The sequence below is a fragment of the Homo sapiens genome, chromosome 8 (genome assembly GCF_000001405.40).
Source record: "Homo sapiens chromosome 8, GRCh38.p14 Primary Assembly".
In the NCBI taxonomy this organism is placed as follows: Eukaryota; Metazoa; Chordata; class Mammalia; order Primates; family Hominidae; genus Homo; species Homo sapiens.
Genome location: NC_000008.11, coordinates 65879171 through 65892908, shown reverse-complemented (window position 1 = coordinate 65892908; position 13738 = coordinate 65879171). Strand labels below are relative to the sequence as shown.

Here is a 13738-nt window from a genome sequence, read left to right as displayed (position 1 = left end):
GTCACTATTATCATTCAGTTCAAATAATTTTTTAATTTCCATCTTGATTTTGTTGTTGACCCAATGATCATTCAGGAGCAGGTTATTTAATTTCTGTGAATTTGCATGGTTCTGAGGGTTCCTTTTGGAGTTGATTTCCAATTTTATTCCACTGTGGTCTGAGAGAATATTTGATATAATTTCAATTTTCTTAAATTTACTGAGACTTGTTTTGTGGCCAATCATGTGGTCTATCTTGGAGAAGTTCCATGTGCTGATGAATAGAATTAATGTTCTGCAGTTGTTGGGTAGAATGTTCTGTAAATATCTGTTAAATCCATTTGTTCTAGGGTATAGTTTAAATCTGTCATTTCTTTGTTGACTTTCTGTCTTGATGACCTGTCTAGTGCTATCAGTGTTATATTAAAGTCTTCCACTATTATTTTGTTGCCATCTATCTTATTTCTTAGGTCTAGAAGTAATTGTTTCAAAAATTCAGGCCCTCCAGTGTTAGGTGCATATATATTTAGGATTGTGATATTTTCCTGTTAGACTAGTCCTTTTATCATTATATAATGTCCCTCTTTGTCTTTTTTAACTGCTGTTGCTTGAAAGTTTGTTTTGTCTGATATAAGAAGCTATACTCATGCTCAGTTTTGGTGTCCATTTGCATGGAATATCTTTTTCCACCCCTTTCCTTAAGTTTATGTGAGTCCTATGTGTCAGGTGAGTCTCTTAAGGACAACAGGTACTTGGTTTGTGAATTTTTATCCATTTTGCTATTCTGCATCTTTTAAATGGGGCATTCAGGCCATTTACATTCAACATTAGTATTGAGATGTGAGGTACTATTTTATTCATCATGCCATTTGTTGCCTGAATACCTTGGGTTTTTTTTATTGTGTTATTGTTTTACAGGTCCTGTGAGATTTATGCTTTAAGGTGGTTCTATTTTGGTGTATTTCAAGAATTTGTTTCAAGAGTTAGAGCTCCTTTTAGCAGTTCTTGTAGTGATGGCTTGGCAGTGGTGAATTTTCTCAGCACTTATTTGTCTGGGAAAGGTTATATCTTTCCTTCATTTATGAAGCTTAGTTTCACTGGGTACAAAATTCTTGGCTGACAGTTGTTTTGTTTAAGGAGGCTAAAATAGGACCCCAGTCCCTTCTAACTTGCAGGATTTCTGCTGATAAATTTGCTGTTTATCTGATAATTTTTTTTTAATAGGTTACCTGATGCTTTTGCCTCACGGCTCTTAAGAGTCTCTCCTTCATCTTTACTTTAGATAACCTGATGACTATGTGCCTAGGCGATGATCTTTCTGCCATAAATTTCCCAGGTGTTCTTTGAGCTTCTTGTATTTGAATGTCTAGATCTCTAGCAAGGCTAGGGAAGTTTTCCTCGATTATTCCCTCAAATATGTTTTCCAAACTTTTAGATTTCTCTTCTTCCTTTGGAACACCAATTATTCCTAGGTTTGGATGTTCAACACAGTCCCAAACTTCTTGGAGACTCTGTTCATTTTTAAAAAATCTTTTTTTCTTTGTCTTTGACAGATTGGGTTAATTCAAAAGCCTTGTCTTTAAGCTCTGAAGTTCTTTCTTCTACTGTTCAATTGCCAAGACTTTCCAGAGCATATTGCATTTCTCTAAGTGTATCCTTGATTTCCAGAAATTGTGATTGTTTTTTACGTATGCTATCGATTTCACTGATATTTCATATCCTGCACCATGTTTTTTATTCCTTTAAGTTGGACTTCACCCTTCCCTGGTGCTCCTTGGTTAGCTTAATAATCAAGCTTCTTAATTCTTTTTCTGGCAATTCAGAGATTTCATCTTGGTTTGGATCCACTGCTGGTGAGGTGTTGTGATCTTTTGGGGGTGTTAAAGAATCTTGTTTTGTCATATTACCAGAATTGTTTTTCTGGTTCCTTCTCATTTTGGTAGACTATGTCAGATGGAAGATCTGGGACTTAAGGGCTGCTGCTCAGAGTCTTTTGTCCCACAGGGTGCTCCCTTGATGTGGTGTTCTCCTCCCTCCCTAGGATGGGGCTTCATGAAAACCAAAAGGCAGTGATTGTTTTTGCTCTTCTGGGTCTAGTCCCCTAGTGGAGCTACTGGGCTCCAAGCTGGTATTAGGGAGTGTCTGCAACAAGTCCTGTGATATAATCCATCCTCAGGTCTTTCAGCTGTGGATACCAGCACAGTTTTTCAGTGTCTCAGGGAGCCTACAGTGGTGATCCATTTCCTTCAAAGGATCTGTGGATTCTCTTGGCTTTCCTGGTATGTTCCTGCAGTGGTTATTGGAGCAAATGTTCGTGATACGAGTCTCCACACACTGCTCTGTCCATCTGAGCAGGAGCTACAAGTTAGTCCTGCTTCCTATCTGCTATCTTAATCCTCTATCTGGCTGCACCATTTTACATTCCCATCGGTAATGCCCTTCTCTTCCTAAAAGAAGAAAACTTATGTTTTGCAACAAGGAATTATTTTTAAAAGATGCTGTGGAGGCTGGGTGTGGTGGCTCATGCCAGTAATCCCAGCATTTTGGGAGGTTGAGACGAGGGGATTGCTTGAGCCCAGAAGTTCAAGACTAGTCTGGGCAACATGGTGAGACCCCATCTCTACAAAAAGAAAAAATTAGCTAGGCATGGTGGCATGTGCCTGTGGTCCCAGCTACACGGGAGGTGGATGTAGAAAGATCACTTGAGCCTGGGAGGTTGAGGCTGCAGTGAACCACGATTATGTCACTGCACTCCAGTGTGGGTGACACAGTGAGATCCTGTCTCAAAAAATAAATAAATAAATAAATAAATAAATAAATGCTATGGGACTGCAGCTCCCTTCTTAAATAGACTACCGTTTGGGACCTCTATCTTAGAAGTCCCATTTTCTTTACCAATTTATCTGACTGATCAGATAAATGAGTTGGTCTTACTGAGCTGTTGAATACCACATGTTCCCCCCAAATCTTTCTTTTTGTTGCTCATAGTCTCTTCAAATACTTTCCTGTAAAAAGGAAGATGTGATTGTGCTGCACAGAAGAGGAAGGCCTTTGAAGTGGCGTGTCAGAAAGAAGACGGGATTTGGGGCCGTAAGATCCTGGTGCTGGTCCTGACTCTGTCTCAAACTAGTTGTGTGACTTTGAATAAGTCACTAAATTCTCAGTCAGTTTCTTCAAGAATCAACTAGAAATGATAGAAACACCTTCATCACTGATGTGGAGCCAATGGGATCATGTAGGCCGTTGGTTGTCATAGAAGAAACAGAGAACTCCTAGGGAAGCACCTCCCAACTGCTAACACACACACGTGTGTGCACATATGTGTACACACACACACATGCACATACACACACATGCACATACACACACATAGTGACCTTCAGTAGAGTGACTCCACTTGTATTAGTTTTATATATTAGGCTTCCCAGCAAGACTGGTTTGAAGAAACAGCTCTATGGCTAACACAAGTTGAAAACTGCTGAAATATGTGGACCTTGCTTCCTCTTTCATGTTTTTCTTTTTAAGTAGTTTCAACTTCTTTTGCTCTCTTCTGGCCATCTTCATACATGAAGGTCTCCTCTCTAAAGGAGGGGAAGATGAAACAAGGCAACTTTTCTTTTTATAAAAAAGAAATTTTAGTTGACACATAATAAGTGTACATATTTACAGTGTAATATTTACAGTGTGAAATTTTGATACATGTATACAATGTATAAGGATCAAATCCGGGTAACTTGCATCTCACTTTCAGCCTTTATCATTTCTTTGTGTTGGTAATATTCAAAATTTTATCTCCTCCTGAACCTCCCAGATAACCTACAATTTTTGCTACTTCCTTTCATTGCTAAATTCTCTTTTTTGTTTGTTTTTTAGCGACAGGATCTCATTCTGTCACCCAGGCTGGAGTGCAGTGGTGCTATCACAGCTCACTACAGCCTCAAACTCCTGGGCTCAAGAGATCCTCCCACCTTAGCCTCCTGAGTCACTGTGACTACAGGCACATGCCACCACATCTGGCTGATTTTTTTCATTGCTAAATTCTCAAGGAATGATTCCACATTCTGCTGCTATTTTCTTTCTATGGCTTTCCTTTTAGTCCCTTATCTGAATTCTGGCTTCAGATCTTCATTGTAACCATGTACGTTAAGTCTTCTTCTCACTAAATTCCATTCCTATTTTCTCAGTAGCTTTTGAAACAGTTTACTCTCCTCTTCCCTGAAGCCCTTTTGTCCCTAGTTTTCAGAAAAAATGATGAGACTCAGGTATACCTCCTCCTCTGGCTGTTGCTTCCTTGACTCTTCCTGTTCCAGAATAATGGTGGGTGTCCAAGTTCCCAGACATCTTCCTCTTTCCCTCTTTATCCCTCCCTCTGAAATCTTGTTCTGTTTCAGAGCACCTGCTGTCACACTTTGAAGACTCACGGTATAACTAACTGTATAACTGTATAACATGGTATAACTGTCTTTGGCTCCAGTACCCTAACTTCAGTTGCCTGCTGGACACTTCATTTCACATGTCTGACAATCATTGATATCAAGAAATGAAATCATTAATCTAGTCCCCAAACTCCTTCTCCCCCCAGACTTCCTGTTTATGTTATGGCATCAACAAACCAGCAGCACTAAGATTGGACATTGCCCTTATACTCGTCTGATCCTTTGTCCTCATTTCACTACTCCCATATCTGATCAGCCACAAACTGGTATTGATTTTTTTTCACGTAATGCGTCTGAAATCTTTTCCTCGTTCTTCACTTCCTCCTCTAACATACTAGTCAAAGTCTTTAATAGGCTTTTGCTGAAGTCTTCTGGCATTACTTTTCCAGATTTATTTTCCAAGTCTCCCTTACTTAAAAGCATTACTTAACTTTAGTCTAACATGTAACCTCATAGGTAACTGATTCCATCTCTTGTCTCAGTTCTAAGAAGTAGGAACTCCAAAATGAGTCTTAAAGCTCATTTTGAATCAAAGGTCTAGCCCTGGTTTAGTTGGACACAACCTGGGAGTCGTGGTTATGCAGAGGTTTGCCTTTTCTGAGTATAAATAGGGCAGTTTTTCTATGTAGGAAGTACAGGCAAGGAGAAAATTATTTCTGGTACTAAGAAAATGCTGTCAATGCCTGCGCCAGGAAAAGGGTGGTAGAGAGACTTTGGCCATGCTTCAGACCCACAATAATTAACCTCCATCTTTCTTAATGTACACAGAACATAAATGACACTTGGAATTTTCTCAAATCTAGGCAAACATAGTCTCCTCCCACTTCTAGGCAGGCTGCAGCCTGTAAGCTCCCTGCCTTCCGAGATATCCTGGAGTGGCCACTGAAGGTCTGTACGGGAATGGTACATTTGCTAAATATTTGCCATGGTCAAAATTATAGCCTATTTAGGTTTCTTTCTTGGCATATTTCACTTTGAGGCTATAACATATGGTAATCATATTAAAATGTTAGAAACCAAAATTTGATATTCCACACATACAAGATTAGCCTAACATTTTCCTTTCTTGATTGTTTTAGCAATGGTTAGGATAAATATAAAGCCAGAAAGACACTGGTTATGACAACTGGAAAGTCACATTTTTTTCTCTTTACTAAGATGTTTAGGATTCTATACTGTCATAACTAAAAGTTGACATTCATGTCATAGAATAAATATTAAAATTTAGTATAAATACAATGAACCATTTAAAAGAATGGGGAATTTAATAGGATTTAAGGTTAAGAACTTGAAATAAATTGTCAACAAAAGTAAGAAAAGAAAATGGAGTGTCTCCACGTTTCTATAATCTAAAGAAATTTTGGAGAACATCTAAATTAAGTAAGCTTATTTTTATTTTTTATAACTTTATTGAGATACATTTCACATACCATAAAATTCACTCCTTTAAAGTGCTCAGTTCAGTAATTTTGAGTATATTCAGAGTAGTACAACCATAACCAGAATCTAATTATAGAACATTTTTCTCACCCCAAAAATAAAATCATTAGCAGTCATTCCCCAGCCGCAGGCAACTACTAATCTGCTTTCTGTCTCTATGGATTTACCTATTTACCTATGTACCATGAACTTCACATATTTACCTATTTACCATGCATTTCACATGTATCATATGAGTCCATATGATATATAGTCTTTTGTGACTGGGTTCTCTCATTTAGTATATTTTCAAAGTTCATCCATATTCCATTCTTCATTCCTTTTTATGTATCCATTCTTCATTCCTTTTTATGGCTGACTAAAACTTCATTGTGTGGATTTGCCATATTTTGTTTATCTGTTAATCAATCGATGGACATTTGTGTTATATCTACTTCTTGGCAATCATGAATAATGCTGCTATGAACACCCATTTCACCATGGAAATATGTTTCCATTTTTCTTGCATACTTACCTAGAAATAGAACTGCTGGCTCATATGATAACTCTATGTTGAATATTTTGATGAACTGCCAAACCATCTCCAAAGTAGCTGCACCATTTTACATTTCCACCAGCAATATACAAGAGTTTCAATTTCTCCACATCCTCGACAACACTTGTTATTGTCTTTTTTATTTTAGCCACCCTAGTAAGTGTAAAGGTATTTAACTATGATTTTGGGCCACCTTTATTTTTGGCACAAGCAAACTGAAGACTTGAGTCTCACGCTCTAGATCCCAGCTAGTCAGAGGCAAAATCTAATTTGCAGAGATGTGTTGTTTTAGAGAAAGATATGGAAGGATATCTAACTAATTGTTACTTTTGGTTCCTGAAAGTAGAGAGTTAAGGAAGAAAAAGGAAAGACACTATTAACTTTATATTCAGCTATTGTTAAAAGGAACATTGTATGAATATGCATTACATTAATAAAGGAAAATGTCAAACAACAAAATGAGAAGCTCTGTGTCTCTTATATTTTTTTTTAAAGACAGGGTCTTGCTGTGTTGCTCAGGCTGCAGCACAATAGCTATTCACAGCTGCTATCATGGTATACTGCAGCCTCAAACTCCTGGACTCAAGCTATCCTCCTGCCTCAGTCTCTAGAGTAGCTGGGATTACATACACACACCACCATGCCTGGCTAGCTGTTTCCTGATTTCCAGGCTTTTTTTGTTGTTGTTAATTCTTTTGAGAGTTTAGGTTAAAGTCTTTTTGTGCATAAAGATTATATAAATATATAAATTCACAGATATGTATATATATTAGATAACACATTTATAATATTTTTTATATATAAACACTTAAAATACTAGCAGGGCCAAATCTGGCTAAATAAAATCTGAGTATTCTGTGGCAAGTGCTACACTATGGCTAATGATTGGCTGAAATGTTTGAATAAAAGTGTTACACTACCAGTCTTTTCAGACTATGGATCATTTGACTGGAAGAAGTTTTGTTATTAAAACTTAATTTATTAGGTTAAATTTATTAAAATTTAACTTAATTTTATTAAAATTAAAGTTTTGCTATTAAAATGCATTAGAGATATGGTGGGTCATATTCTCCTTGCAATCCTTGAACACAGTTTAATAAACAAAAAAGGTGGCCAGGCACAGTGGCTCACGCCTGTGATCCCAGCACTTTGGGAGGCTGAGGCAGGTGGATCACAAGGTCAAGAGTTCGAGACCAGCCTGGCCAATATGGTGAAACCCCGTCTCTACTAAAAATACAAAAATTAGCCAGTAGTGGCAGCGGACGCCTGTAGTCGCAGCTACTCGGGAGGCTGAGGCAGGAGAATCACTTGAACCAAGGAGGCGGAGGTTGTAGTGAGCCAAGATTGGGCCACTGCACTCCAGCCTGGGAGACAGAGAGAGACTCTGTCTCAATAATAATAATAATAATAATAATAATAATAATAAATAAACAAAAAAGGCTTAGGACTTGATCAGCTCAAGTAAGCACAGGTTGTGCCACTTGGCAGATTTGCTGCCGTGCTTCTGGGAGCTGAATTTTCTGATCTGGTGTGACAATCTATAGAGAATCACTCACACTTGTTTAACAGTTCACAAACCTCTATTGAGCCATTCTTCCAGTACAAGGAGCACAATAGATCTAAATAATTCCAAATACTCAATAGCAGTACAAACATGTAGAATAAATACAGGTCTTAAAGGGGATAAAATTCACGTAATTGTTAAAAAGTAAAACCCGATGCTTCTTTTATACAGTCTCTCAAAACTTCAATCTGTTACATAATTTGATTTGTCAAGGACCATGTTGTTCCTTATTGTGCAAGCAAACTTTCCTGTAGTTTTATAGCAAAGCGCAAGTAAGAGACAGAAAGAGAGAGAAGCAACAGAGCAGGATCTTAAAGTTCTCTCAATCCAGTTATTACCACTAATCAACTATGTACTGCCTGTAAGATTTATACTGGAAAATGCAAATCTAATAAATACTCCAGAAAAAGGGTCTCACTAAGAATGACAAAAATTCAGTGAGTAAGGGGCAGGTGCAGTGGCTCACACCTATAATCCCAGCACTTTGGAAGGTCGAGGGGGGAGGATTGTTTGAGCCCAAGGGTTCAAGACCAACCTGGGAAAAATAGGGAGACCCCATTTCTAAAAGAATAAAAATAAAAATAAAATCAGCTGGGCATGGAGGTGCACACCTGTGGTCCCAGCTAATCAGGAGGCTGAAGCAGGAGGATCACTTGAGCCCAGGAGGTCGAGGCTGAGGTGAGTTGTGTTTGCCTCACTGCACTCCAGTCTGGGCAACACAGTGAGACCCTGTCTCAACAAAACAAAACAAAGCAAAACAAAACAAAATTCAAGCAGCAATGGAAGTAGAAGAGTGTCTCCATGCTTTTTCTGCAATAACCTTCATTATGAAAGTCAGTCAATAGGAAACCAACAAGAGTGAATAGCACTTTATGAGGGCTTTGGGTATGCGTTTGGGATAGAAAGGATCAGAGACTTCCCATCTTGAAAGGAATGCAAATTCCAGAGACAAGAATCTACCACCAGCAATGTGCCTTTGCTGGCCGCAGAATTTCAGACATTTGGAATGAAGATTAAAATTAACTAATCATCGTAACAAGAATTTATACAGGCAGCATCAAAAACAAACTGGTTCTAGGACAATGTAATAATCTGTAGCCTGGCATGTCCCTGACACTAGTTATACTTTCTAAGGAATGAAATTTATAAATATACTTGAGATGAAAAGTATGCTCCCCTGGACAAAGCCCTGGATAAGTAGATAGGAAAGACAATTCAATTCAGTTATTCATTGAGTATCTTACTATATATGTTTTGGGATTGTGTAGATTGGACAAAATTCCTCTAATGTAAATGGAAGAGTCTATTTTTAAAATCTAGCTGGTAAACAAACAAACAAACAAACAAACGAAACAAAACATAACCCAAATCCACAGCTAGGTTTAAAAAATGCTTAGCATTAATATTCTTCCATTGCTAAGCAACTAATAGGATATTTCAGAATGAGAGAAGGAAGTGGAGCCAAATAAACATAGTAAAAATTAAAATATACAACCAATCCACATACTTCCCCTTAAATAATCCCATCTACACCTATGCACATCATATCCACCATCAGAAAATATGTTGTTATTTTTAAAAATACACGGTTTTCTCCTTGTCTAGCTTATAGTACTTTGACTATTTTTTCCTTTTCTTACTAAATTCATTTCTTATTTGATTAATTCATTACGTCAGATGCCAGGTATCAGCTTGACTTAGCTCATCTCATCTCATTCAAAGGCAGATCCAAGTTTTGTAAAGTCAAAAGCTTATACAATTTGGGGGCTCTCTTTAAAGAAAATAATACAAAATTACAAAATACAAGAATATGGAAAACAAGAATGACAATAGAAATCACAATAAATTTTAAAAAATTAAATGCTGACAAATACCATAAATATTACAAACTCTAGGAAACTTACATAATTTCATTAACTAACTGCCTAACATACCTTTATAATAGTTTTCTATTTCATTTTTTGGTTTAATGCTCTTTGGTAGCTTCTTTACACAATAGCTATTTTGTAATATCATCTTCTGTAATGCGACTAGAAAAATACTTCAGTCTTTTTTGGAGTATAGTTGATCAAAATTTGTTTTCCATATTGAGGTTTGGGATATATAAGTCATTCAACCTCGTACACAGACACACTTGTTGTTTTTAGTACAGCTATAGGTGTTTGCCCTAAAAATCAAAATGTTCTGATTGATTCTATTTCACACAATTCCCATCCCAAAAGAAAAATACGTATATTCGTGTGCTGATCGTTGTAGACGTTGCATCATCTTATATACTCCAACTAGAATGCTACAGTTATGCACAGGCTTCAGTGCAAACCAAATCCTCTGCTTACAATTTTCTACATCTGAGGATAGGAGGAATTTTTCATAGACTAGCTTATGACATTTTAAACATGCTTCTCTACCCCTTACCTACACAGTCCTGGTAAGAGGTGTAATAGGACAGTGGTCCCCAACCTTTTTGGCACCAGGAACTGGTTTCGTGAAAGAGAATTTTCCCATGGGCTGGAGGGGACTGATGGAATGGTTTCATCCTCAAATCATCAGGCATTATTTAGAATCTCCTAAGGAGCGCACAACCTAGATCCCTCGCATGCGCAGTTCACAATAGGGTTCGTTTAATGCTGCCGCTGATCTGACAGGAGGCGGAGCTCAGGCAGTAATGCTTGCCCGCCACTCACCTCCTGCGGCACGACTGGGTTCCTAACAGGTCATGTGCTGGTACCAACCAGAAGCCCAGGGGTTGGGGGCCCCTGCAATGGGACACATTCATGATGTACGAACATTGGCTTGGCACCTTTATATCATGGCGCTGGGTGGCTCAGCACAGTGGGTGGTAGAAGTATTCCTGGAAACTATTCATTTGCCAGGACACCTAGCTATAACTACTAATCACAGAAATGATCACAAAGCACATAAATATATCCCATGAAATGTAAATTAAGTATATCACCAACTTAATTTTCTCTTATCAGTACCCTAAAATACACAACATTCCCTCTCCAACACCACCAAACACAAGGGCAAGTCAGAGAGGTAAGAGCACTGTTGACTGAGGGTGGCTAAAATATGTTTTTCTGTGTGCAAATTTTATAAAAGCATATGGCATGTGAACACATTGCTAAGGTCTGTCCCAAAGCCTTAGGAGGAGCTGTTTTTAAAAGGAAGCCTGATGCTTCAGCCTCAGAGTTCAGTGTATCTGTTCCTGACCTCATCTTGCCCCACTTAGGGAGCGCCTACCATGTGAGCAGCACACAGAGAGGCACCTACAACTCCACATGGAAAGAAATCACAGGATATGAAAGGAGTTAGGGCTGCTGCACCAGAAGAAAAGAAAAAGTTCACTTTCTATTATGGTGAATAAACTTTACATTACAATTGGAGTTATATTCCTGTGAGTCTTCAGGAACCCTCAATAAAGTGGCCTTGGGACAATGAAGGGAAATTACCTATTGAAGAGAAAAAGGAACAAATGCCATGGAAATGAAACCCAGGCCCAGTGAATCAGGACAATGATCTGAGTGGCCGCCCAGCACTATTGGCCCAGGGCTGCTATCATGGGTGTGTGGCAGGCAGGGCAGCCGCTGGAGACTAGAGGAAAAGATACCTCAAAAGGGGAAATGGAAAACGCCAAACATCCACGGTGCTATCTTGACAGTTTATGCCTGGGACCGATCTTACCAGGTGGCTCATGCCTGTAATCCCAGCACTTTGGGAGGCCAAGCCAGGTGGATCAGTTGAGCCCAGGAGTTTGAGACCAGCCTGAGCAATATGGCAAAACCCTGTCTCTATAAAAAATCCAAAAAAAAAAAAAAAAAAAATTAGCCAGGCAGAGTGGCACGCACCTGTAGTCCCAGCTATTTGGGAGGCTGAGGTGGAAGGATTGCCTGAGCTGAGGAGGAAGAGGCTGCAGCGAGCTGAGATTGCGCCACTGCACTCCAGCCTGGAGTCCAGACCTGTCAAAAAAAAGAGAGAGCGAGAGAGAGACAGACAGACAGACAGAGAGAAAGGTGTTTTAACTCCCTAGAAGAAAATTATCCTTCCATTAGATCAAGACTTATTTGTGCCTGAAGGCAGATAATATGGTTTGGCTCTGTGTCCCCATCTAAATCTCACCTTGAATTGTAATAATCCCCATGTGTCATGGGAGGAACCCGGTGGGAGATAATTGAATCATGGGGCTGGGTCTTTCCTGTCCTGTTCTCTGATAGTTAATCTCAGCAGATATGATGGTTTTATAAAGGAGAGTTCTCCTGCACATACTGTCTTGCCTGCCACCATGTAGGATGTGCCTTTTCTTCTCCTTTGCCTTCCACCATGATTGTGAGGCCTCCCCAGCCATTGAAACATTGAGTTCATTAAACCTCTTTCCTTTATAAATTACCCAGTCTTGGATGTGTCTTTATTAGTAATTTATAGTATATTAATCACAAATATCTGCAATATTTGTAGATATTTTTGTGATTCTACAAATAAAAAAATCTTTTTAAAAAATAAAAAAGATATTTTTTATTTGTAGAATAAAAATGCTCTTTATAAACCATATAAGCTGAGACTTTCAATATTTAAGATGTTAACATTTTACCACTCAAACAGAACAAAAGCCATAAGAATTTTAAATGTGCCTTGAAAAAAACCATAGAAAAATCACCAAAATATTATTTCCTGATATTTCCTAATAGATTCTTTTAAAGTATTTTTTTCATTGTCATGTGAATAGGAATAAAACAGAATTTTGGAAGTATGCTTAAGTAATTTGTAAAATCTGAATTCATAACAGGCAATTAAGCTAGGAAAACCAAAACTTCTTTTGCAGTAATTCTCTTGATAAAAATTACAGCTTTAATGATCCTTAGAACACTAAATGAGAAAAGTCATGGAACTTCAATGGTACCTAATACTTTCTTTTGCTGGGCTATTCAATCTGTTGGCAAATGAAAGCTTTCCTTTCCTTTTCATTCTCCTCTGTGAATATAATTCTCCAGACAAGGTTCTCACAATCATTGTCCTGGTGATGTCACATCTTCCATGGCAACATTTTGCCAGTTTATTGTTAATAAGCTAAAGCAGTTCTTGGTTTCTTTTTTTTTTTTTAAAAAAAAGATTACATATCTACTTAAAATGTTAGATATCTATTTATTTTCACACAACATTGAATGAAATACTGCAGAAGGGGCTACTTTAATGTGTGAACATGGAATGAAATTTAGGTCAATCTGGGAAGGACAGATAACATGCTAGAGATTTTAGAAATCAGTGCCAAGATTATGTAATGATAACACTCTCTCTTCTGGTCCTTCGCACTTGGGGTGCATGAACACAGGCTTCATGAAAAGTCACCTACAGAGGTAAACAGCAACTGTGGCTTTTGAAAGGAACAGATTCTAAATAACATTATTTTAAGAAAGAGGATGTGAAATTACGACTACGTAAAATAGATTTACCTAGTAACAAGACTGGAAAGTTATATGCAAAAATGAAAGAGTTGGAGTGCTTTGGGGTGAGAGAGTGATTTTTTTTTTCAAAAAAGTTTTTAATTTTGTTCTCTTGGCATCTTAATAACAGTTATTTGAAAATGGGTACATCATCAGGTTAGGAGAGGCAGATAGTCTGTTTGCTGGGAGGGTGTGCCCTTGGCTGCAACATCTGGGCCCTGTGCCTTGGAAAACCTACCGGACAGTGACTTCACTCTCAAAGGAAGAATTAAATCTGAGAATTTATTTCAATAGCTCACTAGGAGGGAAGCAGTCACAGCAATAATTTTATAAGCTTAACGCCTCT

General features: G+C 38.1%; 1 annotated feature.

Moving 5' to 3' along the window:
- Positions 13366-13505: an enhancer, noted in NCBI's record as "active region_27465". NCBI's record gives its function as "activates an Ori minimal core promoter by ATAC-STARR-seq in GM12878 lymphoblastoid cells {active_cell/tissue: GM12878}" and the evidence as "EXISTENCE:reporter gene assay evidence [ECO:0000049][PMID:35858748]".